The sequence below is a fragment of the Homo sapiens genome, chromosome Y (genome assembly GCF_000001405.40).
Source record: "Homo sapiens chromosome Y, GRCh38.p14 Primary Assembly".
Classification (NCBI taxonomy): domain Eukaryota; kingdom Metazoa; phylum Chordata; class Mammalia; order Primates; family Hominidae; genus Homo; species Homo sapiens.
The window spans coordinates 7,830,815-7,858,758 of NC_000024.10; the positions used below are offsets into that span (position 1 = coordinate 7,830,815).

Consider the following 27,944-nt stretch of genomic DNA (forward strand, 5'->3'; position numbering starts at 1 on the left):
TTTATAGTATTCTCTGATGGTAGTTTAATTAACCAGAAAAGCTGAAACAGATTCATTCACTTTATCTTTCAGTATCTGATAATGAGCAGATTTTTTGATATTAATGAAATGCCTAACCTTGTTTTTACTCTAACTCATTACTTTGAATTTTGTCCTGCTTGTCTCTTTAATCACCTATCCTTGCTTCTCATGTAAATAAGACTCTCTGTAGCTGGGAAGGCCAGACAAACTCCAACTGACCCCTTAATTTACAAGACACTAAGGGCTCCTTTCCCAACCCCCTTTTGTAAGGAGTTGGCCTGGGTAAACAGATCCTCAGCATTTCAAAGGAGTCCAATTAACTGATAAGGTACTAACACCAACAATGTATGAAGTTCCCAGGATTTTTCTCAAAGAGATAACAACATAAAACCTTGAGTTCATGTCTTCTATAGACTCTATATCTAATTATAATGAAAGATTTAGAACCTTGCACCTGGTACCTTTGCTCTTCTTGTAACCATTTGTCTTTTAAGTGGTTTATCTCTCTGTAACCATTTTGCTTCTTTTGATTCTTGCATGTTTTTACTTCTGTAGAATTATTGCATTTGAGTCCCCCTCCCCTTCCTAAACCTAGGTATAAAAGTTAATCAAGCCCCTTCCTCGGGGCCGAGAGAATTTTCAGCATTAGCCATCTCTTTGGCCGCCAGCTTAATAAAGGACTCTTAATTCGTCTCAAAGTGTGGCATATTTTTTAACTCGCTTGGATACAACATAATGGAGGTCCCAGTGAGAAATTAACTCCACTGGGTGAGAGCCGGTCTCACTCTGGGCTCCCCCGGAAGGACGGCTGGCTTGGATGGGGGGCGCCACCTGAGGAAATAATTTTTAAGGTCCCAGAAGAGTAACTGCCTTCCGGAGGAGAGCGGATCGACCACCGTGTCATTGCCCTAAAATTCAACATCTGAGTCCTCAGCTTCTGACCCCGGGGTCAGGTAAGTCAGATTTGACTTCGTTTCTGGTAAGAGGGGAGTGGCCCTGATGAGGGCGTCCCTCTTTTGACTCAGCCTGTTACTCTAGGACACTAGTGGGTTGAGCCTTGGTTTTCTGGTAGGTGCTTTTGTATCTTGGTTTGGGTAGGAAGTGGTCCTGACAAGGACCCTCCACTGACTTAGCTCAGGGCCCAGGAGGCGGGAGCTAAGCCTTGGTTTCCGGAAGACCGGACTCTCGATCTCTCTCTCTCTTTCTCTCTTGTCTATCTTACATCCTTCTGTTGTTCAGGTTTCTTGGACAATCTCTGGGAAAGAAAAGGAAGAAAAAAAGAGAAAAAAATTGTTATAAACTCTGTGTAAATGGTGTGTGACTGTGGGAGGACAAGGGGTTGCATTTGTCTTCCAGTTTGTAGCTCTATGGTGAAAGCTACAGAGTTCAAGTGGGCCCTCACCTGCGGTTCCGTGGCGACCTCCTAAGGCTTAAGGCAGCACCGGGCATAGCTCGATCTGAGCCAGGGGTTTATACCAGCCTGTCGATGCTAAGAGGAGCCCAAGTCCCCTCTGGGGGATCAGCCAGGCGGGCATCTGAATGACAGCATCACGGGAACTCCTTCCCTTGTCTGTCTAATAAAGAAGGTAAAAAAGGGAAAACTGTCATAATTGTTTACATGCCCTAGGGTCAATTGTTTGTTTTATGTTTATTGTTTTTTTCAGTGTCTATTGTCTTGTTTAATAGTTGTCAAGGTGTTATATGTCAGGACATCGATATTGTCCATGAGGTCTGGGTAAAAATTTCTTCAAGGACCTTAGTGCTGCTTTTTTGTCACAAGAGGTTAAATTTCTCATCAATCATTTAGGCTGGCCACCACAGTCTTGTCTTTTCTGTCATAAACAAGTAAGGTGTTGTTATGGAAAAGAGTGTGGAGAACATTCACCTGATCGGAATTTCTGGCACCATTAAGGTTGCAGGTATTTAGATTGTCATACCCCACGTCCTAGTGATTGGTCCTCTTGTAAACTGAACTGGTGGTGGATTCAAAACAGCCACCTTGCAGACCTTCTTGCTGATCTCTTTTGTTATTTTGTAACTTTTCCTGTGCCCTTGAATAAGACCTTGTGTAGGGAAACCTACGACCGTCATGCTTTACTTCGTTTAGACTCCTATTCTGTTCCCCTGTGGCTACGCTCTCACCTTAAGGATGATCTGAGTGGTCCTTTTCCCCCTCATCCTTGCCCCCTACCCCATGCATCTTGTTTTCCAGTGTGACAGCAAGTTCAGCATCTCCAAGACTTGGCTCTGCTCTCACTCCTTGAACCCTTAAGGGAAAAAGCTGAATTTGAACTGTTTGCTTTTGAATCGTGGAGACATCAAAAATATCTAGGATATAGGTCTAGAGGAAGAGGAAGAGGGAGAATGCCTAGCTCGAACCGTCCCAGGAGACCTTGGGTTGACCCCTAATCCCCCTCCCTCAATCTAAAAGCTACAGAAATTTGGCAAGTAGTATTAGTTTTTGTGGTTTTTCTGTTGTTCTTCCTGGTCATGTTAATTCTGTTTTTCCGACACTCCAGCCCCCCAGGGAAAGAATTTCTCTGCCCGTGTTGGATCTGATATCCCTGCTTGAGACTTTGCTAAATTGCCTTTAAATAATAAAAATAATAATAAAATGGGAAACACTTCCTCCCAGCCCTATAAAGTTTGGAGCCCTCTCCAGGGTATGCTGAAAAAATTTTCTCTTGGTTTCTCAGAGGACTATGGAGTCCGCCTTAGAAAAGGCAAGCTCCAGACACTCTGTGAACTAGAATGGCCAAAGTTTGGATTTGGATGGCCCTCTGAAGGGTCATTAAATCCTATCATTGTTCAAGGCATGTGGCGAGTTGTTACCAGAACTCCCAGCCACCCTGATCAGTTTCCATATATAGATCAATGGTTAAGTTTGGTTAAAAATCCTCCTCCATGGCTCTGTTCATGTGCCTTTCACAACTCCACCTCCAAAATCCTCCTGAGCCAGGACGCATTTTTGCCTCGACCCTCAGCTGATTCAGCTCCCCCTGTTTTGCCTCCCTATGAAGAAGAGGAGAGTCTCCCTCACCCAGTTCCACCACCTTACAACCAACCTGCCCCTCTAGCATCTTCCCATGTCTCTTCCACGACATCCCCTGTGGGCTCACCACCCTTTGCCTCTCAGCTGTGACTGCAGCAGGAGGAAGCAGCCCCTCTACTGCCACTGAGAGAGGCACAAGTCCCTCCAGGGGATGAACACTCAGCCCCCTCCCTGGTTTATGCCCCTTTTCCTACTTCTGACTTGTATAATTAGAAAAATCATAATCCTCCCTTCTCCGAAAAGCCTCAGGCTTTGACCTCACTGAAGGAGTCCATACTGCAGACCCATTGACCCACCTAGGTTGACTGCCAACAGCTCCTTTTAACTCTCTTTATCTCTGAGGAGAGGGAGCATATCCAAAGAAAGACCAGAAAGCACTTCCTTGCATCAGCCGGCAGGCCTGAGGAGGAAGCTAGAGACCTCCTGGAGGAGGTCTTTCCCTCCACCCAGCCTAATTGGGACACACATTCCTCAGGTGGAAGGAGAGCTTTGGACGATTTTCACTGGTATCTCCTTGCAGGTATTAAAAGAGCCACTTGGAAGCCCATAAACTTGTCTAAGACAACTGAAGCTGTCCAGGGGCCTGATGAGTCACCAGGAGTGTTTTTAGAATGTCTCCAGGAGGCTTATTGAATTTATACCCCTTTTGACCCCATGGCTCCCGAGAATAGCTGTGCTCTTAATTTGGCATTTGTGGCTCAGGCAGCCCCAGATATTAGGAGAAAACTCCAAAAACTGGAAGGATTTGCTAGGATGAACATCAGTCAGCTTTTAGAAATAGCCCAGAAAGTTATTGAAAACCGAGAATTTGAAAAACAAAAACAAGCAACACAGGCAACTGAAAAAGCCGCTGATAAGCCATGTAAAAGACAAGCAAAAATCTTGGAAACCGCTATCCAAGAGGGCAAAAAGGAAAGGCTCCTATTCCAGAAGATTGACCAAGGACCCTCGGGTTCCCACCAGAAAAATAAAAGAGGTGAACAGGCCCCTCTAGGAAAAGACCAATATGCCTATTGCAAGCAGACTGGGCATTGGAAAAAGGAGATCCCCCTGCTGCCAAAAGAAAAGTCAGAAAACAAAAAGATTCTCACCCTGCCTGCAACAGAGGAGCCTGATAATTGATGGGGCCAGGGCTCCCTCACTCTTGGCCCCCAGGATCCCATAGTAACTGCTACAGTGGAGGACCAGCCTGTACGTTTCCTAGTAGACACTGAGGCAGAACACTCAGTACTGCAGACTCCCTTGGGCAGTGTCTCAAATAAAAAAAATAACTGTACAAAGGCAACTGGAGCTATTCAAGAGTACCCTGTCACACGCTCCCGAGAAGTAAACTTGGGACAGAAAAGAGTGACACACTCTTTTCTGGTGGTTCCAGAGTGTCCTTTTCCTTTATCCTTGGACGAGACCTGCTCCATAAGTTACAGGCCTCAATCTCCTTTTCAGCTCAGCATGCTCATCTCACACTAGGAAATGAAACTTCCCCAACTGCCCAACTCTTGCTAACTACCTATCTGTCAGAAGAATACCTTCTGGTTTTACCATCACAATCACCGGAGGAAAATACTAATACTCTTTTGTTGGACATACAGACATTTTTTCCCCAAGTTTGGGCCGAGTCAAACCCTCCCAGACTGGCTAAACACCATCTGCCAGAGGTTGTAGAATTCTTGGCTACTGCCATACTGGTCCAGGTAAAGCAATACCCCATGAGTCAGCAGGCTAGAGAGGTGATTAATCCCCACATTCAATGACTGTTACAAGCTGGCATACTTACACCATGTCAGTCGGCCTGTAACACACCATTTTTGCCGGTCCAGAAACCTGGGACAAATGATTACCAGCCAGTACAATACGTGAGGGAAGTTAATAAATGGACTGTTATTGTCCATCCAACCATCCCTAATCCTTATACTCTACTCAGCCTGCTCCCACCAGAACATACAGTATGTACTGTTCTTGACCTGAAAGATGCTTTCTTTGCTTTTCCTCTGGCCCCCAAAAGCCAGCCTATTTTTGCAATTGAATGGACAGATCCAAGATCAGGAGACACTACCCAGCTGACTTGGACTGAGTTACCTCACCCTTTTTGGGGAGGCTCTTCGGCAAGATCTTATACCCTTCCGAGCTAGTCACCCTAACTGTACTCTTCTTCAGTATGTAGATGATATTTTAATAGCTACTGAAACTATGGACAGTTGTCTACAACACACAAGGGACCTGCTCTACCTCCTTCAGGAGCTCAGGTATGGAGTCTCAGCCAAAAAGGCCCAACTTTGTCTTGCCAGAGTGTCCTACCTGGGGTACGAGATAAACCAAGGAAACAGGGCACTCACCAGTGCCCGGAAAGAAGCCATCCTGCGAATCCCCACTCCCACCACCAAGAGAAGGGTACGCGAATTACTGGGAGCCATGGGATACTGTCATCTCTGGATATTGAGGTTTGCAGAGTTTGCAAAGCCTTTGTATACTGCTACAAGAGGTAATGGCCCACTGATTTGGACAGACACTGAGGAACAGGGTTTTCAAAATCTGAAAAAGGCTTTAACTGCAGCCCCTGCTTTAGCCCTCCCAAATATCTCAAAGCCTTTTCATCTGTTTGTCCATGAGAGCCAGGGAGTTGCTAAGGGGTTGCTTACTCAGACTTTAGGACCTTGGAGACGCCCAGTGGCTTATTTATCTAAGAAGCTGGATCCTGTGGCCTCAGGATGGCCAAGTTGCTTGCAAGACATAGTGGCTACAGCAAGCCTAGTCCAAGAAACTGATAAGTTAACTCTAGGCCAGAATTTAACCCTTATGGCTCCTCATGCTGTAGAGATTTTACTACAAAGTGCTTCAGGTAAATGTATGTCAAATACTCGCATTTTACAATATCAGAGTTTACTGTTGGATCAGCCTCACTTGACTTTCTCTCCCACAAGGTGTTTAAATCCTGCTACACTACTCTCAGATCCAGATTCTAATATTCCTGTCCATGACTGTCAGGAGCTGTTAGAAACTATCAAAACTGGCAGGCCAGATCTTCAAGATGTGCCCCTGAAAAAGGCGGACGCCACCGTGTTCATGGACAGCAGAAGTTCCCTCGAGCAGGGGATACAAAAAGCCAGTGCAGCTGTTACCACAGCGAACACCTCAGCGCAGAAAGCTGAATTAATCACCCTTACTCAGGCTCTCCGATGGGGTAAGAATAAACGTATTAACATTTACACTGACAGCAGGCATGCTGTTGCTACTGTGCATGTACCTGGAGCCATCTACCAAGAACGGGGGTTACTCACTTCAGCCGGAAAAATTATCAAGAACAAAGAGGAAATTCTAGCCCTGCTTGAAGCCATGTGGTTCCCTCAGCAGGTGGCTGTAATCCATTGTAAAGGACATCACAAAGAAAACACGGCCATTGCCTGCGGTAACCAAAAAGCTGATTCAGCACCTCAGGAAGTGGCACGGTCTTCAGTTTGGCCCATAAACCTGCTGCCAGCAGTTTCTTTTCCACAGCCAGATCTGCCTGACAACCCTGCATACTCAGCAGAAGAAGAAAAATTGGCTTCACATCTTAGAGCAAATAAAAATCAGAAAGGTTGGTGGATTCTTCCTGACTCTAGAATCTTCATACCCCAAGCTCTTGGAGAAACTTTAGTCAGTCATCTACATTATACCACCCATTTAGGTGGGACAAAATTAGCCCACCTCCTCCAGAGCTGTTTTAAGATCCCTCATCTACAAAGCCTAACAAATCAACCAGTTCTCTGGTGCACAGCCTGTGCCCAGGTAAATGCCAAGCAAGGTCCTAAACCCAGCCCAGGTCACCATCTCCAAGGAAACTCACCAGGAGAAAAGTGGGAAATTGACTTTACTGAAGTAAATCCACACGGGGCTGAGTACAAATACCTTTTAGTATTAATAGACACCTTCTCTGGATGGACTGAGGCATTCGCTACCAAGAATGAGACTGCTAACACAGTAGTTAAGTTCTTAGTCAATGAAATCATCCCCCAATATGGGCTGCCTGCTGCCATAGGGTCTGATAATGGACCTGCTTTCACCTCATCCATAGCTCAGTGAGTCAGTAAGGCATTGAACATTCAGTGGAAGCTCCATGGTGCCTATCGACCCCAGAGCTCTAGACAGGTAGAAAGCATGAACCGCACCCTAAAAAACATTCTTACAAAATTAATTCTAGAGACCGGTGAAAATTGGGTAAGTCTCTTCCTTTAGCCCTATTTAGAGTAAGGTGCACCCTTTATCAGGCTGGGTTCTCATCTTTTGAAATTATGTATGGGCAGGCACCACGTATCCTGCCTGAGCTAAAAGATGCCCATTTAGCAGAAATATCACAAGCTAATTTATTGCAGTACATACAGTCTCTCCAACAGGTACAAGAGATCTTCTGCCACTTGTTCAAGAAGCCCATCCCAGTCCAGTTCCTCACCAGAAGGGCTCTGCCGTTCGTTCCAGCCCAGTGACCTAGTGTTTGTTAAAAAGTTCCAGAGAGAAGGACTAACTCCTGCTTGGAAGGGACCTCACACTGTCATCCTCATGACGCCAACAGCTCTGAAGGTGGATGGAATTCCTGCTTGGATTCATCAGTCCCACATCAAAAAGGACAACAAAGCCCAAACAGAAACATGGGTCCCCAAGCCTGGGTCAGAGCCCTTAAAACTGCACCTGAGTGGGGTGAAACTGTTAGATTAATTCTTTTTATTTACTTCTTCTGTTTATCCTTGCCTGTAATGTCTTCTGTGCCTTCCTACTCCTTCCTCCTCACCTCTTTCACAACAGGACGTGTTTTCACCAATGCTACTTGGAAGTCTGGTACCTCCAAGGAAGTCATCTTTGCAAATGACTTATGTATACTGTTCCCACAACTGGCTCATACCCACAAAGAGCATAACAACCTGCCAGTCATGGGAGCAGGAAGTGTCGACCTTGCAGCAGGATTTTGACACTCTGGGAGCCAAGCCGGATGTGGAAGCTGCAAAGCTGCTGAAAAAGGACTCCAAAATTTGACTTTTACCTCTGTCCTCGAAATCACCCTGATGCTAGCTGTCGAGATACTTAACAGTTCTTCTGCCCAGATTGGACATGTGTAACTTTAGCCACCTACTCTGTGGGATCAACTAGATCTCCAACTCTTTCAATAAGTCGTGCTTCTCATCCCAAATCATGTTCTAAAAATAACTGTAATCCTCTTAACATAATTGTCCATGAACCTAATTCAGCTCAATGATATTATGGTATGTCATGGGGATTAAGACTTTACATCCCAGGATTCGATGTTGGAACTATGTTCACCATCCAAAAGAAAATTTTGGTTTCCTGAAGCCCACCTAAGCCACTCGGGCCTTTCACTGATCTAGGTGACCCTACGTTCCAAAAATGCCCTGACAAAGTTGATTTAATTGTTCCTCCACCATTCTCAGTTCCTAAGACCCAGCTGCAAAGACAATAACTCCAACCCAGTCGGATGTCTATACTTGGTAGAGTACATAATTTCCTTAACCTCACCCAGACTAAACTAGCCCAGGATTGTTGACTATGTTTAAAAGCAAAACCCCCTTATTCTGTAGGATTAGGAGTAGAGGTGACACTTAAAAGTGGTCCTTTATCCTGTCACACATGACCTCGTGCTTTCACATTAGGAGATGTGTCTGGAAATGCTTCTTGTCTAATTAGTACTGGGCATGACTTATCTATTTCTCCTTTTCAGGATGTTTGTAATTAGTCTCTGCTTACTCCCATGAGGATCTCAGTCTCTTACCAAGCACCTAACAAAACCTGGCTGGCCTGCACCTCAGGTCTCACTCGCCGCATTAATGGAACTGAACCAGGACCTCTCTTGTGTGTTCTGGTTCATGTTCTTCCCCAGGTATACGTGTACAGTGGATCAGAAGGACAACTCCTCATCGCTTCCCTGGAATTATATCCCAGGCTACACCAAGCTGCCCCACTACTGTTTCCTCTATTAGCTGTTCTCAGCATAGCTGGATCAGCAGACATTGGCATGGCTGCCCTGGTTCAGGGAGAAACTGGACTAATGTCCTTGTCTCAACAGGTAGATGCTGATTTAAATAACCTTCAGTCTGCCATAGATATACTACATTCTCAGGTAGAGTCTCTAGCTGAAGTAGTGCTTCAAAACCGCCGAGGTCTAGATCTGCTGTTCCTCTCTCAAGGAGGATTATGTGCAGCTCTAGGAGAAAGCTCTTGTTTTTACACCAATGAATCTGGACTCATAAAAGATAAACTCCAAAAAGTTCAAGAAAATCTAGATAGGTGACAACAAGAATGAGAAAATAACACACCCTGGTATCAAAGCTTGTTCAACTGGAACCCTTGGCTAACTACTTTAATCACTGGGTAAGCTGGACCCATCATCATCATATTATTGAGTTTGATTTTTGGGCCTTGTATATTAAACTGGTTCCTTAATTTTGTAAAGCAATGCATAGACTCTGTCAAACTTATGTTTCTAAGAACTCAATATAACCCCCTTGCTGTAACTGAAGAATCAACGATTTGATTCCCCTAAAACACAAGTGGGGAAATGAAATGCCTAACCTTGTTTTTACTCTAACTCATTACTTTGAATTTTGTCCTGCTTGTCTCTTTAATCACCTATCCTTGCTTCTCATGTAAATAAGACTCTCTGTAGCTGAGAAGGTCGGACCAACTCCAATTGACCCCTTAATTTATAAGACACTAAGGGCTCCTTACCCAACCCCCTTTTGTAAGGAGTTGGCCTGGGTAAACAGATCCTCAGCATTTCAAAAGAGCCCAAGTAACTGACAAGGTACTAACACCAACAATGTATGAAGTTCCCAGGATTTTTCTCAAAGAGATGACAACATAAAACCTGGAGTTCATGTCTGGCATAGACCCTATATCTAATTATAATGAAAGATTTAGAACCTTGCACCTACTACCATTGCTCTTCTTGTAACCATTTGTCTTTTAAGTTGTTTATTTCTCTGTAACCAGTTTGCTTCTTTTGATTCTTGCATGTTTTTACTTCTGTAGAATTATTGCATTTGAGTCCCCCTCCTCTTCCTAAACCTAGGTATAAAAGTTAATCAAGCCCCTTCCTCGGGGCCGAGAGAATTTTGAGCATTAGCCATCTCTTTGGCGCCCAGCTTAATAAAGGACTCTTAATTCATCTCAAAGTGTGGTGTATTTTTTAACTTGCTTGGGTACAACAATTAAGAATCTGCTTGAGTAAAGAAATAAGGCCAACCAGCTCTTGTGAAAGAATCATTAAAAATATACAGAAAAACCTATCATGTATATTATTTTTAAATATCACCAAATTCACATAGAGGTCTTTATAGTGTTCTCTGATGGTAGTTTGTATTTCTGTGGGATCGGTTGTGATATCCCCTTTATCATTTTTTATTGCATCAATTTGATTCTTATCTCTCTTCTTGTTTATTAGTCTTGCTACCAGTCTATCAATTTTGTTGATCTTTTCAAAAAACAAGCCCGTGGATTCATTGATTTTTTGAAGGGATTTTTGTGTCTCTGTCTCCTTCAGTTCTGCTCTGATCTTAGTCATTACTTGCCTTCTGCTAGCTTTGGAATGTGTTTGCTCTTCATTCTCTAGTTCTTTTAATTATGATGCTAGGGTGTCAATTTTAGATCTTTCCTGTTTTCTCTTGTGGGCATTGAGTGCTATAAATTTCCCTCTACACACTACTTTAAATGTGTCCCAGATATTCTGGTGTATTTTTTCTTTGTTCTCATTGGTTTCATAGAACATCTTTATTTTGGCCTTCATTTCATTATGTACCCAGCAGTCATTCAGGAGCAGGCTGATCAGTTTCCATATAGTTGAGCAGTTTTGAGTGAATTTCTTAATCCTGAGTTCTAGTTTTATTTCTCTGTGGTCTGAGAAAGAGTTTGTTATAATTTCTGTTCTTTTACATTGCTGAAGAGTGCTTTACTTCCAACTATGTGGTCAATTTTGGAATAGGTGTGGTGTGGTGCCGAGAAGAATGTATATTCTGTTCATTTGGGGTGGAGAGTTCTGTAGATGTCTATTAGGTCCGTTTGGGGCAGAGCTGAGTTCAATTCCTGGATATCCTTTTTAACTTTATGTCTCGTTGATCTGTCTAACGTTGACAGTGGGGTGTTAAAATCTCCCATTATTATTATGTGGGAGTCTAAGTCTCTTAGTAGGTCTCTAGGGACTTGCTTCATGAATCTGGGTGGTCCTGTATTGGGTGCATATATATTTAGAATAGTTAGCTCTTCTTGTTGAATTGATTCCTTTACCATTATGTAATGACCTTCTTTGTCTCTTTTGATCTTTGTTGGTTTAGAGTCTGTTTTATCAGAGACTAGGATTGCAACCCTGCCATTTTTGTTTTCCATTTGTTTGGTAGATATTCCTTCATCTCTTTATTTTGAGCCCATGTGTGTCTCTGCACATGAGATGGGTCTCCTGAATACAGCACATTGATGGGTCTTGACTCTTTATCCAATTTGCCAGTCTGTGTCTTTTAGTTGGAGCATTTAGCCCATTTACATTTAAGGATAATATTGTTATGTGTGAATATGATCCTTTCATTATGACATTAGCTGGTTATTTTGTTCATTAGTTGATGCAGTTTCTTCCCAGCATCAATGGTCTTTACAATTTGGCATGTTTTTGCAGTGGCTGGTACCAGTTGTTCCTTTCCATGATTAGTACTTCCTTAAGGAGATCCTGTAGGTAGGCCTGGTGGTAACAAAATCTCTCAGCATTTGCTTCTCTTTAAAGGATTTTATTTCTCTTTCACTTGCGAAGCTTAGTTTGGCTGGATATGAAATTCTGGTTTGATGCAAGTAAACTAGAAAATCTGGAAGAAATCGATAAATTCCTGGACACATACACCCTCTCAAGACTAAAACAGGAAGAAGTTGAATCCCTGAATAGACCACCAACAGGGTCTGAAATTGAGGCAATAATTAATTGCCTAACAACCTAAAAAAGTCCAGGACCAGATGGATTCACAGCCAAATTCTATGCGACATACAAGGAGGAGCTAGTACCATTCTTTCTGAAACTATTACCATCAATGGAAAAGGAAAGAATCCTCCCTAACTCAGTTTATGAGGCCAGCGTCATCCTGATACCAAAGCCAGGCAGAGACACAACAAAGAAAGAATTTTAGACCAATATCCCTGATGAAAATTGATGCGAAAATCCTCAATTAAGTACAGGCAAGCTGAATCCAGCAGCACATCAAAAAGCTTATCCATGATGATCAAGTGGGCTTCATCCCTGGGATGCAAGGCTGCTTCAACATATGCAAATAAATAAACATAATACAACATATAAACAGAACCAAAGACAAAAACCACAATGTCTCAATAGATGCAGAAAAGACCTTTGACAAAATTCAACAGCCCTTCATGCTAAAATCTCTCAATTAATTAGATATTGATGGGATGTATCTCAAAATAATAAGAGCTATTTATAACAAACACACAGCCAATATCATACTGAATGAGCAAAAACTGGAAGCATTCCCTTTGAAAACTGGCACACGACAGGGATGCCCTATCTCCCCACTCCTATTCAACGTAGTGTTGGAAGTTCTGGCCAGGGCAATAAGGCAGGAGAAAGAAATAAAGGGTATTCAATTAGAAAAAGAAGAAGTCAAATTTTCCCTGTTTGCAGATGACATGATTGAATATTTAGAAAAACCCTTTGTCTCAGCCCAAAATCTCTTTAAGCTGATAAGCAACTTGAGCAACATCTCAGGATACAAAGTCAATATGCAAAAATCACAAGCATTCTTATACATCAAGAACAGACAAACAGAGAGCCAAATCATGAGTGAAATCCCAGTCACGATTGCTTCAAAGAGAAGAAAATACCTAGGAATCCAACTTACAAAGGATATGGAGGACCTCTTTAAGGAGAACTACAAACCACTGCCCAATGAAATAGAAGAGGACACAAAAAGTGGTCGAACGTTCCATGCTCATGGATAGGAAGAATCAATATCATGAAAATGTCCATACTGCCCAAGGTAATTTATAGATTCAATTCCATCCCCATCAACCTACTAAGGACTTTCTTCACAGAATTGGAAAAAACTACTTTAAAGTTCATATGGTACCAAAAAGGAGCCCATATTGCCAAGATAATCCTAAGCAAAAGGAACAAAGCTGGAGGCATCACGCTACCTGACATCAAACTATACTACAAGGCTACAGTAACCAAAACAGCTTGGTACCAGTACCAAAACAGAGATATAGACCAATGGAACAGAACAGAGCCCTCAGAAATAATACCACACATCTACAACCATCTGATCTTAGACAAACCTGACATAAACAAGAAATGGGGAAAAGATTCCCCATTTAATAAATGTGCTGAGAAAACTGGCTAGCCATATGTAGAAAGCTGAAACTGTGTCCCTTCCTTACATCTTGTAAAAAACTAGTTCAAGATGTATTAAGGACTTAAATGTTAGACCTAAAACCATGAAAACCCTGGAGGAAAACCTAGGCAATAACATTCACGACATAGGCATGGGAAAGGACTTCATGTCTAAAACACCAAAAGCAATGGCAACAAAAGCCAAAATTGACAAATGGGATCTCATTAAACTAAAGTGCTTCTGCACAGCAAAAGAAACTACCATCAGAGTGAACAGGCAGCATAAAGAATGGAAGAAAAATTTTGCATTCTACTCATCTGACAAAGGGCAATATCCAGAATCTACAAAGAACACAAACAAATTTATAAGAAAAAAAAAGAACCCCATAAAAAAGTGGGTGAAGGATATGAACAGACACTTCTCAAAAGAAGACATTTATGCAGCCAACAGACACATGAAAAAATGCTCATCATCATTGGCCATCAGAGAAATGCAAATCAAAACCACAATGAGATACCATCTCACACCAGTTAGAATGGTTATTATTGAAAAGTCAGGAAACAACATGTGCTGGAGAGGATGTGGAAAAATAGGAACAGTTTTACACCGTTGGTGAGACTAGAAACTGGTTCAACCATTGTGGAAGACAGTGTGGTGATTCCTCAAGGATCTAGAACTAGGAATACCATTTGACCCAGCCATCCCATTACTGGGTATATACACAAAGGATTATAAATCATGCTGCTACAAAGACATATGCACACTTAACGTTTATTGTGACACTATTCACAATAGCAAAGACTTGGAACCAATCAAAATGTCCATCAATGATAGTCTGGATTAAGAAAATGTGTCACATATACACCATGGAATACTATTCAGCCTAAAAAATGATGAGTGTGTGTCTTTTGTAGGGACGTGGATGAAGCTGGAAACCATCATTCTCAGCAAACTATTGCAAGGACAAAAAACCAAACACCAGATATTCTCACTCATAGGTGGGAATTGAAAAAATGAGAACATCTGGACACAGGAAGGGAAACATCACAACTGGGGCCTGTTGTGGGATGAGGGGAAGGGGGAGGGATAGCATTAGGAGATATACCTAATGTAAATGATGAGTTATTGGGTGCAGCAGACCAAAATTGCACATGTATACATACGTACCAAACCTGCACGTTGTGCACAAGTACCCTAGAACTTAAAATATAACAATAAATAAATAATAAAAATAAAAATAAAAATCACAAAATTCATACTTCAAACAAACACTAGTCTTACTGAGTTTTACTACTTGCAGAAGGTGGGTTGGCATAGAACATGATGGACCATAGCCACTTTTTATATATCACCCAATTGCCCATAATAAACCCAGAATTTAAGGCTGATCCTGTCAGTTCCTAAGAAGACAATCTTGACACGCACACAATTTTCCATTAAGATTGTTTCCCACTTCTACCTTCTAGTAATGTCTGTCAGCCCTACACTTCTGAGAATCCAGGACAGCAGGGCACAAGTAAAATCTCCTTGAATTATAACAAATGTTTGGTTTGTTCTTCCATATAACACAGCTTTTCTATCCTCAGAAACAATAAGTTGAAAATGTGTTGTGTCAAGATATAGAATCAAGTCTGGGAATGGTGGCTCATGCCTGTAATGCCAGCATTTTGTGAGGTCAAGGCAGGAAGATCACAAGGTCAATATATCCAAAACATGCTGACTCACATGGTAAAACCCCATCTCTACTAAACATACAAAAATGTAGTCAGGCATGAAAACCCCTTCCTGTAGTCCCAGCTACTTGGGAGGCTGACCCAGGGGAGTCACTTGAACCCAGGAGGTGGAGGTTTCAGTGAGCCAAGATCATGCCATTGTGCTCCAGCCTGGGTGACATAGTGAGATTCTATATCAAAAAGTAAGTAAATAAATAAATCTAGAATCAAGTCTACATGAAAAGGATTGATAATTCCGTCTAAGCCAGAATTTAGAGAAGGAAGACAAAAACTGTACTTTGTTAATCAAAATGAATAGAATTCTGACCATGCATGTGGTAAATAATATTAACATGTGTCAGCCATTTCAAGTTTGACTGGATAGACTTGTGCACTACCTCTCTCCATAGATGTTTAAATGTAGAAACATAATCTGAAAATTTTAGGATGATTTCATTTAGTTTTGCTAAAATGTCCATCTCTTAATCTTGTTTCAACTTTGAGATGTGGTCTTGCAGCATTGGTACAATTATGCTCTCTTCATATGCAAAATTAATGTCATTTTTTACTATAGATATTTTAAATGTTTCACTTGAGACCACAGTCTAATTTTAAAAAGAATACTTATTTATAATTATGTAGCTTCCTTTACATAGTTAGTATTATCTTTGTTTACTTCATGTACATGTCAAAAAAACCTCATGACTTATTAAGAATTCTATTGTTTACTTGAATATATTGGGCCAATAAAATTAATAAACTCAATTATGTCATTTTTATAGAGTAAAATAGACAACAACTAAACAAATATTGGCTTATTGGATTAAATAGAATTCTATAATTGAAAAATGTAAAATGTACAAAATAAATAACATATACACACTATAAAATTACTCACATGTGAAAATTATTTTCTGAAAAGCATTAAATTTTATCTAAGTCACTTTCATAATTTCTGAGGGGAGTGTAGAAAGAATGCCTGTTTGTTTGTTTGTTTGTTTGTTTGTTTGTTTGTTTGTTTTTTGAGATGAAGTTTCACTTCATTGCCCAGGCTGGAGTGCAATGGCACCATCTTGGATCACTTTAATGTTTGTCCCCTGAGTTAAAGTGATTCTCCATTACTCAGCCCCCTGAGTAGCTGGGATTACAGGAGCCCAACATCATGGCCAGATAATTTTTGTAATTTTAGTAGAGACAACGTTTCACCATGTTGGCCAGGCTGGTCTCAAACTCCTGATCTCTGGAGATCTACCTGGCTTGGCTGCCCAAAGTGCTGGAATTTCAGGCATGAGCCACCAAGTCCAGCCCAAAGAGTGTTTTATGAAATTAGATGAAAAAATTATATATTATATTTAGGGTGAGCAACAGGCAAACATACAAAAAAAGAGAAAAATTTGCAGAAGATTATTCTAAGCCACTAGCAATAACACTTTACATCATGGAGTTTAATACAAAGCAGAGAAAATAGATTTGCTTTGAAAATCTTTGAAGTTTCTGGTTTGTTGGTAAGATATGAACACTTGTAAAATTATCTGTTTTATTCTAATATTTTTCTTTTCTTCTCAATGTAAGCAATGATAAACAAATATGATTATTTTCTATCAATTTATTACATGCCTAAAGTTTATTTTACAGTAATATGCTTCTTATATTTAAATTCATGTAAATCAAAACTAAAGTTCTGTATGTGTTTATCAGAGCAGAGATGTCATATATTTAATAGAACAAAAGTAGGATAAAAGTTGTAAATAGTTGTTTAGTATTCAGAAACATATAGCTCCATTATACTAATTTATATCTTCATTACCACCATCATAATAAGCTGTAGTTACAAAGAAAACAAAAATATAAGTTTTAAGAAATATACTTTCCAAATTATTTTAAGTTAAAAAACACTGACAACACAAAAACATTACTAGAGATGTTATTCCCCTGTCCCCAAGTAGCATATTGTTACCATCTGTTACCTATAGCCTTGGTTAATATGGGATAACTTAACATCGGTGGCAAGATACACATTCAATGTACAATAGCTTTAACATGATAACAACAATATTGGTTTATTAAAACAAATAGAGTCCACACATTGTCATTAAAAAGGCATTTTAGAATTCACTTTATTTTGATTACCTTAATTTGCAAATGGTAAATCAATTTCCAACTAAAAATCAAATTGTTTCTTTTACTATGCAGAATGTTGCCCTTACCACACTCTTATCATACTGTCATTTATGATACCCAATTAAACCATCCACTAAGTTGCCTCTGCACATATAAATTCTTCAAGTATATTAGATTTGGTTTTCCTCATCTTCCATGGAAAAGTATATAAATCTGTCCTTCTAATATAGAAGAATCTCTCATAACTCTGGTGCAGCAACTATTGACCATGTTCTTTCACATACATTCCAGAAATAAAGATATAACATCAAAGTAAGAGATAAATTACATCAATATTTGTTTTTGAAAATACTTATTATTTTCAAAAAATATTAAATTATTTTAATATAAATATAGATTCCCTTTAGGGGAAAGTGATCTAGATTGCTGACTAGAAAGAGGCAGCTAGACTGCGGAGTTCCCATAGACAGGAATGCAAGGTGTGCATAAATACATAACTTTCAGTGGAAACTTCCAGTTATTTCCATCAGGACTAATCAAAGAAGCAACTTAACATAAGAAGAATGGAGTAAAGCAAGACAGGACACTGGGACTCTTGAAAACAACATGGAGGCAGGGAAACTGTCACACCCAGTAAGGCAGAATGTGAATGTGAGATCCTGGGAACCCATGATTCTTCCACAGATCTTTGCAACCCTCTGGTGAGGTGATCCCCTCATAAACCCACTTCACCAAAGCCTTCTGTATAGGACACATAGCTACATGGAGTCTCAGCAGAGCAGCCGCTCAGGATTGTGCAGTGATTCAAAAGCCTTAGATAGATATGTTTCTAGGCTTCCCAGAAAAAGTAGCTGCAATTCCAGAAAAGAAGGATGCTACAACCCTGTACATACTCATAGGAAAAAGGCAGAATCCAGGGGGCTTAGCAGTGATGGTCTGTAGGAAACATTTTCTCAGTGCCTCACAGATGTACTGGCTTTGAATTCCAGCCAATGATTGGTAGAAGCACTGCACCTCCCTGGGATCAAGCAATCAGAAAAAGGAGTTGGCCACAATCTTTGCTGCTTGATAAACTTAGCCATTCCAGCCTTCAGACTTCGAGGAGCCCAAGCTTACTAGAAGCACAAAGGATCTCTTAGCACAGTACAGGTGCTCTAAAAAGACATGGCCAGACTGCCTGTTAAAGCAGGTCCCCAATCTCCTTCTTCCTCACTGAAAAGTACTTCCCAATGAGTATCTCCAGCTAACATCACTGGCCCTGTTTCGTAGATGGAATTTTGAAATCTTTTTTGGCTATAGTTCCTAGAGCAAAGAGTGAGCTGCCATTTTTTCCTGTTTGTGTGACTAAGCTGTTCCTGCCTCCTGGCTTTGGAGGATCCAAATAAACTGTGGATGGAAGTGGTACCTCTGCAAAGCAGAGCTGTTCTACAAAAATGTGGCTAGACTTTCCTTTCCTTTCCTTTCCTTTCCTTTCCTTTCCTTTCCTTTCCTTTCCTTTCCTTTCCTTCCCTCCCTCCCTCCCTCCCTCCCTCCCTTCTTTCTCTTTCTTTCTTTCTTTCTTTCCTTCCTTCCTTCCTTCCTTCCTTCCTTCCTTCCTTCCTTCCTTCCTTCCTTCTTTCTTTCTTTCTTTCTTTCTTTCTTTCTTTCTTTCTTTCTTTCTTTCTTCCTTCCTTCCTTCCTTCTTTCTTTCGAGACAGAGTATTCCCCCTGTTGCCCAGGCTGGAGTGCACTGGGGCAATCTCAGATTACCACAACCTCTGCCTGCTGGGTTCAAGAAATTCTCCTACCTCAGCCTTCCGACTAGCTGGGATTACAGGCATGTGCCACCACGCCTGGATAATTGTGTATTTTTAGTAGAGATTCAGTTTCACTATGTTGGTCACGCTGGTCTCTAACTCCCGACTCTGGTTGATCTGCCCACCTCAGCCTCCCAAAGTGTTGAGATTACAAGCATGAGCTGCTGCACCCAGCAGACTGCTTTCTTAAGTGGATCCCCAATCACTTTCTTTTCACTGGGGAATACCTTTCAAGAGGCATTTCCAGCTACATCCTACAGGTGCTTTTGGGCTGAAAACAGGTTTATACATCCCTGGGATGGAGGTCCCAGAGAAAAGGGCATGCTGCCATTGTTACTTTTTTGCACATTCACTGGTGATAACTTCAGATGCTGGAAATTCTGAGGTGACTAGATACTGCAGTGGACACCCAGCCTATTGCAGTTGCAGCAGCTCTTCACAGAAGTGGACAGACTGTTACATGTGTTTCTGTTCTTATATATTTTCACTGGGTAGGTTCTTCAGGCCTGGGCCACTAGCCAATCATTGCCACAGCTATTGAGCAAGTAACAACATAAGAACTCCATGGACAGAGCTTCTGGGGGCAACTGCATATATTTATTCACTGTCTCTGCAGTGGAATTGTCCTTGCTGTCCTGAAACTAATGAAAAATCCAAAACCCTAAGTTCCTTATTCACACCTCAAACAAGCTGCAGCATACCAAAGGAAAGGAGGTCAGTCCATCCTCCATGGGTCCCACAGACTCCCCAGTGCTCCTCACCAGACAGTGAGCCCCTAACTTGGCCAAAAGCACAGATTTTCCATCCAGGGCTGACTGCACTGAGGGATTGATCACCTACATCTCTCTTAGTTGCAGCCCTTCAGAAGACTGGCATACAGGTGGGGCAGCAAGCCAGCTTGTTGATTTCTAAGGGTTTGGTGCAAGAGCATCTATAGCAAAATATGGCCAGTGATGGCGAGTTCTCTAGGCTGAACTTTCTCCTATAAGAGATTTTAGCCTGAGGGGAACCATTGGAACTAATTTCTACAGGATGATGTTGCAAATCAGAAGGGGGTGGTCCAACTGAGGACTCTTTTGCCACCTGGCCTCTCCCAGGGTCGCAGTCTAGCTAAAGCTTCTTACAGGGCAGTCTCAGGTACCCTAGAAGCCCATACCATAGCATCAGCCTGGTAATCAATGCTTGGCCCCTGAAGAGCTCCAGGAAGGCAGACACTATCATTGCAGCTTACATGTATCTTCCCCATTCTGCAGCCTACATGTATCTTTCCCATACTGCAGCTTCCCCTGACACCATGGCAATTCCCCATGTTACTTTGCTGGCACATGTCTGCAAAGGTGGGTTTGACTTTGCTTGCCCCACCAGCAAATGGGAATGCAGTATGCTTCTACTACCCTCAGGAACTTCTACAGTAGATAAAACTTTGGTAGGCAGAAAGCCAGAGAGCCTCATCCCTGCTTTTCTGCTAACACTGTGTAACAAAGAGTGTATTCTCCCACTCTCTGAACAATTATTACTTCATGGGCGGGGGGGGCAAAAATAAGGCATCATAACCTTCACTGGCCCGCATCCTGCCCAAGCCAACACCACCTTTAGTGCAACAGACCACACAGTCTCCAGCAGGTACAGGTGACTCACTCTCAGCTGCTTTGTCTTTGCCACTGAGGTGAATGCCCAAAGACAGGGAGAAACCCCATATCCACTAACTCTCTTCTAAAGCTGTGACACCTTAGTCACAAAGAGTGGTGGACTCCAAATATCAAGGAGCCAGAAAAGACAGTTGGAGCTCGATACAATTTCCCCAGAGTATGCAGCCTCTGAATTGTGAGCTGAGCATAGCCCCTCCACCACCAAGAAAAAAATCTCCCAGGAACAAAGCTTGTTGGTTGCAAACACCTTATTCCACATCAAATACTCCAGACCATTAAACGGAATAAAAAAATTCAAAGGTCAACCACCTCAAAGATATACATGGAAACATTAGACAAAATCAGTACAAAAATTTTGAAAACACAAAAAGCCGTAGTGAGTTCTTTCATCCAAATGATGAAATTACATTTCCAGTGAGGCCTAAAAATCTCCCAGGAACAAAGCTTGTTGGTTGCAAACACCTTATTCCACATCAAATACTCCAGACCATTAAATGGGATAAAAAAATTCAAAGGTCAGCAGCCTCAAAGATATACATGGAAACATTAGACAAAATCAGTACAAAAATTTTGAAAACACAAAAAGTCATAGTGACTTCTTTCATCCAAATGATGAAATTACATTTCCAGTGAGGCCTAAGATGACAGAAGTAGAATTCAGAATAAGGAACTTCATTGAGCTACAAATTTAACTTTCAACCCATTGCAATGAAGGGGAAAAAATGCAGGAATGGATAGAAAAAAACAGCCATTTAGGAGGAAAATATGACCAATCTGATAGAGCTGAAAAAACACAATACAAAAACTTTATAATTTAATCACAAGTATAAACAGTAGAATAGGCCAAGCAGAGGAAAGAATCTCAGAGCTTCAACACTGGCTTTCTTAAATTAGACAAGAAGAGTAAAAACAATAACAATAATAATAATAATAAGGAGGAATGAACAAAACATCTAAGATATAAGATTTATGTAATGAATCCAAATCTGTGGTCAAAAAGAGTACCTGAAGGGGATGGAGAGAATGAAAACCACTTGAAATACATATTTCTAGATATCATCCATGGAAAGCCAAGTCACCTCTAAATGAAGGACATCAAACAAATAATAAATCTTTCAGTTGAAATTCTACTTGTCAAAGAGATGAGGGGCCAATATTCAACATTCTTAAGCAAGAATTTTAAACCAAAATTTATATCCGATAAAAGTAAGGTTCAGAAATAAAAAAATATATATGATCCTATTCAGTTAAGCAAATGCTGAGGAAATCTTTTACCACAAGACCTGCCTTTTAAGAGCTTCTAAAGAAAACATTAAATAAGAAAGAGACTATAACCAGTCACTACAAAAACACACTAAAATACATAAATTGCTGACACTATAAAGCAACCACATAAATTTGAAAATAGCAAAGATCATAGTGACAAAATGAAATCCATACACATGAATACTAAACTTGAATGAAAATGGGCTAAATTCCCCAATTAAAAAACAAAGTGGTGCCAGGCACGGTGGCTCACACCTGTAATCCCAGCACTTTGGGAGGCCAAGATGGGCAGATCACAGGGTCAGGAGATCAAGACCACTCTGGCTAACACGGAGAAACCCCGTCTCTACTAAAAATACAAAAAATTAGCCATGAAAATTAGCCAGGTGTGGCAGTGTGTGCCTGTAGTCCCAGCTACTCAGGAGGCTGATGGAGGAGGATGGCATGAACCCAGAAGGAGGAGCTTCCAGTGAGCTGAGATTGCACCACTGCACTCCAGTCTGGGCAACAGAGCAAGACTCTGTCTCAAACAAAACAAAACAAAAAAATAAAACAGAGTGACAAGCTGAACAAACAGACAAGATCTAATGGTATGCTGTAATCAAGACACCCATCTCAAATAACCTCAAATGAAAAGAGAAAAAAAAATCTTCTAAGCAAATAGAAAACAGAATAAAAGCAGAGGTTGCAATCCTAGTTTCTGGCAAAACAGACTTTACATAAATATAGGTTTTAAAAAAAGACAAAGAAGGACATTACATAATAGTAAAGGTCTATATATACACACACACCCCCAAAAAAGCACTCAGATTATAAAGCAACTTCTTAGAGACCCTCGTAGATCATAAGTTAAATGTTCTTCAACAGCCATTACCTTTATGTTACATTGGTTCAGTATAAAGTCTCTGATGTTGAACACAAAATGAGGACTTGTTGAAGACTTTTCCACACTTTGAACACTTGTGGAGCTTCTCTCTAGTATGAATTATCTTATGTCTAATGAAATGTGAGAATGAGCTCAATGCTTTGCCACATTCTCCACAATTGTAGGGTTTCTCTCCAGTGTGAATTATCTTATGATTGGTATGGTCTGATAAGCACTTAAGGGTTTTGCCACATTCTTCATATTTGTAAGGTCTGTCTTCCATGTGAATTATTTTGTGGCTAGTAAGGGTTAAGGAGTAGGTAAAGGCTTTGCCACATTCTTCACAGATATAGGGTTTCTCTCCAGAATGAATTATTTTATGTTTATAAGGAGAGATAACTACATAATGGCTCTTCCATGTTCATTGTATTTGTAGAGTTTCTCTCTAGTATGAATTATCTTATGTTTAGTAAGGTCTGAGAACCACTTATAGGCTTTATTACATTCTTCACCTTTGTAGAGTTTCTCTTCAGTATGAGTTGTCTTATGTTCATGAAGTTCTGAGAACTATCGATTGGCTTTGTTACATTCTTCACTCTTGTAGGGTTTCTCAGTAGTATGAATTCTATTATAATTAGTAAGGTTTCAGAAGCACTTAAAGGCTTTTCCACTTTCTTTGCATCTGTAGGTTCTGTCTCCAGTATAATTTCTCTTGTGTTTAATAAGAGTTGAGGAGCAGGAAAAGGTTTTATCACATCCTTTTCATTTGTAGGGTTTATCTCCTGTTTAAACTCTTATGTTCAGAAAGTTTTGAAAACTTTTAAAGTCTTTGCCACATTCTTCACATTTACACCATCTGTGTATGAATTTTTTATAGTAAAATCTGAGAACAGCCTACAGTTTTTGCCACATTCTTCACATTTGCAGCATTTCTGTCTGCTAAGGCTTTTTTATGTTCAGTGAAGGTTGAGCAAAACTCAAAAGCTTTGCCATATTTATTAGGTTGGCAGGTTTTGCTGTGGGTAGTTGACAAACATTGATGAGGGCCATTATAACTGCTTTTCTGCACCTTGGAATTACCCACACTTTGGTAGTCTTTCTTTAAGTTTAAACTATGAAGGTCATATCTTCCATATTTTATCAGGATCAGTTTTTGAAATGATTCTTTTATGTCATACTCCAGCAATATATCTACAGTAAGATAAAAAGACCCAGCTAAAAAAAAAAAGAACTACAAATTTCTCCCTCATTAGACCCAGGTGAATACACTTTGCAAATATATAATTAACCAAAGCACATTAATAAGGTGACAATAAAATATTACAGGCTCTAATTCTTTTATATAATTTATATAAATTTATATAAATTTATATAAATTTATACTTAACAGTAATATACTCACAAAATGCCTTTGTGAGAACTCTAAGAATCAGGTATAAGTTTGCAGCACCGTAAGTGAGCAAAATGCAAAAAACCACATAGTAGTTTTAAAAAAGTGTTTTGTATGTACCCACAACAACCATTCTTCATCCTATGATGACTTTAAATATAGACTCCCAGCTTCCATCTCCCCCATCCAGCAATAAAGTATTGGCACCTCTGTCCATGCTTCTGGGTTTCTGAGACCTTACCATAGGCTAATTTCTATATTCCATGGTAGCGTTGAAAGGAAAGTTGGTAACTGACAGTTTTGGATATCTAAGATCAAAGATAAATGACTGTTACAAGTGAAGAAAGACTTTAGTATCAAAGACAGACAATGGGTATAGCAACTGACAACAGGATTTCAATAAGAAACATGGGGAATGCTGGGAGTGGTTGCCCACACCTGTAATATTGGCACTTTGGGAGGCTGAGGCAGGCAGATCACCAGAGGTGAAAAGTTCAAGACCAGCAAGGTAAACATGGTTAAACCTTGTCTCTACTAAAAATACAAAAATTAGATGGGCGTGGTGGCAGGTTTCTGTAATTCCTGCTACTCAGGAGGCTGAGGCAGGCAAACCGCTTTAACCAAGGAGTTGGAGGTTGCAGTGAGCCCAGACTGTGCCATTACACTCCAGCCTGTGTAACAGGAGTGAAGCTCCCACTCAAAAATAAAGAAAGAAAGAAAGAGAGAGAGAGAGAGAGGAAGAAAAGAAAAGAAAAGAAAAGAAAAGAAAAGAAAAGAAAAGAAAAGAAAAGAAAAGAAATGAAACGAAATGAAACGAAACGAAAAGAAAAGAAGAAAAAACATGGAAAACTTTTTTCTTTTTTTTTTTTTTTTTTTTTTTTTGAGATGGAGCCTTGCTCTTATTGCCCAGGCTGGAAGGCAGCTTGGCTCACTGCAACTTCTGCCTCCCAGGTTCAAGTGATTCTCCTGCCTCAGTCTCCCCAGTAGCTGGGATTACAGGAGCTCACCCCCACACTTGGCTCATTTTTGTATTTTTAGTAGAGATGGGGTTTTGCCATATTGGCCATGCTGGTCTCGAACCCCTGACCTCAGATGATTCACTCACCTCAGCCTCCCAAGGGAAAATTTTTTAAACTGAAAAACACACAAACTCAGACAAAGCATCCATAGAATAGGCTTCAGAGACCCAAGAATATCTAGCCTAAAAAATTTGTATTATATTCCCCCAGACAATAAAAAACTTAATAAAGATTTTGATGCCACTTTTTATTATACAAATTGCAACCTAAGATTACAACATATTCAAAACATCAAGATAATATGGTTAATTTAAATATAAAAATATATATCCAGAAATCAACTAAAAAAAGGTGATGTAAAAATTACCAGAGACAATTTGAGTTAAAGTCCAGATACATTTTTAAAAAGAAAAAAAAATAAATTACCCTTAAAAGTTAGCATTACCATCTCACTGATGCTCAATGAATAAAATGGAAATAAAGAAATTAAGAAAATGGAAATAAGTGAAATAACATAAATTAAACCAACAAAAAATATAAAGCTCAAAAAGAAATAAAAATCGTAGAGTGGAAGTACAAAAAAGATTAATATTCCCTTCAACATTAGAAAAAATATGAGAAAATCAGTAAGCTCAGCAAATTTCAAATAAAATTAATGTAAGAGAGATTTACAAGACACAAGTTTTGAAAGTCACAGAAAAGAGAATGAGAAATGCAGGAAGAAAAAAAACAGATGTATTATTTATATTCATGCTTCTGCAAGATTACCAGTAAATGTATGAACATAAATCTTTCAAGCAAGAAGGGGGTCGGATGACATAGTTAAAACCCTGAAAGAAAAAGGTGTAAGCAAAAATACTATATTTTGCAACAGTATCCTTCAAAATGAAAAAAAAGCTCTAAATATAATATGATCTATATTAACAGCTAACTATGTCATGTCTTCGAAAAGACTCACTCATATCTAATAAAAAAAGACTAAAAATGGCAGGATAAAAATACATTTCACGCAAGTGTTAACCAAATGAGAGGTGAAGAGGCAACAATTTATTAAGGTGAAAACTTCCATAATTCATATAATTTACTTTAAGTCATAATTTACAAGAGACAAAGTAGGACATTCAATTATAATAAGAGGGTTCATTCACTAAGAACTTATAAATATCTGACAATTTTCCCAAACACATAAAGCAAACATTGACAGAATTGAAACCAAAATAGACAGCAATATAATAATGGAATAATACATCAATATTTCACTCTAAGTAATAAATGAAGCATGACAGAATATCAATGAAGGAATGGAAAATTTGAATGCATTATACAATAATTACACCTAACAAATGTATACAGACAACAGAATACACATTCTTTTCAATAGCTTATAAAACATTGTTCTAGATGGACCACATGTGACACGACATAAGAAGCCTTAATAATTTTTTAACTAAAATTTTACAATTATTTGTAGCCCAAGAGGAAAGAAACTAGTACACAGTAACAGCAGAAAAGCTGAAAAATTCAAAACTTATAAAGATTAAACAACACAGTTTCCTGTTTTGTTTAGTTTAGTTTTGTTGAGAAGGAGTATCACTCTTTCACTAGGCTGAAGTGCAGTGGAGCAATATCAGCTCACTGCAAGTTTCACTTCTTAGGTTCAAGTGATTCTTCTGCCTCAGCCTCCTAAGTAGCTGGGATTACAGGCATGCACCATCTTGCCCAGCCAATTTTATGTATTTTAGTAGAGACAGTGTTGCATCATGTTGGCCAGGATTGTCTCGATCTCCTGAACTAGCCCTGTGCCCTCCCTGGCCTTCCAAAGTGCTGGGTTAGAGGCATGAGCCTCTACACCCAGCTACAGCGCCCTTTTTGTCATGTTGTTTTACAATGATTGGAAGACCTAATGTTGTGAATATGTCCATGCTGTTTAAAGTGACCAACACGTTATTATATATTGCTCTAAACCAGGTTGTATTGTCAACATCTATAGGCAGGTTTAAGGGAGAAGATCCATTATTGTGCCTGTGGGCTGGGTCCAGAATGAGTCACCATCGCCCCTGTGGCCAAATCCACATAAAAATGTCACAATTTTAACTGTGTGCTGTATTCTTTTGTCAGGCTCAGGACCTCAAGAGTGGGCACTGCAAATGTGGAATGGTGACAACTCTTAATTTCACTATGGTGTGTAACCAAGAGTTCCATTCTGAACCTTTTTCTGGACCCTGTTATGAAACTCTTTACCACCAAACAGTTTATACAATATAAGTTAGTGTTGTAAGCTAATGTGAGTTTGGTACAAATATGCAACCCAGGACCTTACATATTGCCTTAAGACAAATAATGAGAGGAAAAATATCTCCTATTGGCTGTATCCCAATGTAAGTTTCATCTTCATGCCTGGGAACTGAAGCAAGGTATATGTCATAATTCCATATGTGAGCAAAAAACAAGACAGTAGGTTAACATTACATAGATGGTGTACTAAGCAATATGTCACAATGCCTCCTCTAGGTAGGGTATAAAAAAATTGGATCACAGTAACTTGATGCTAGACTCAGCATTGAACAACATCCCACATGTGGAAAATATCAAGCCAAGTTATAAGACACAAAACACTTACATAATGGGCCAAAGATATGTCGATGTATATTCGGTGGCTCTGTCATGGGCAGAAGAGTCACATCATAAG

At 40.0% G+C, this 27,944-nt stretch overlaps 1 long non-coding RNA gene and 2 pseudogenes across 1 annotated transcript; all 3 read right to left on the reverse strand.

Moving 5' to 3' along the window:
* Positions 1 to 27,944, reverse strand: LOC105377229 (uncharacterized). Its single transcript, XR_938644.3, has 4 exons — positions 27,876 to 27,944; positions 2,164 to 2,288; positions 1,424 to 1,595; positions 1 to 1,276 (listed from the first exon to the last, which is right to left on the reverse strand). It is a non-coding gene; the product is annotated as an uncharacterized LOC105377229 (long non-coding RNA).
* On the reverse strand, positions 14,669 to 15,649 carry TRIM60P1Y (tripartite motif containing 60 pseudogene 1, Y-linked; annotated as a pseudogene).
* On the reverse strand, positions 22,896 to 24,029 carry ZNF92P1Y (zinc finger protein 92 pseudogene 1, Y-linked; annotated as a pseudogene).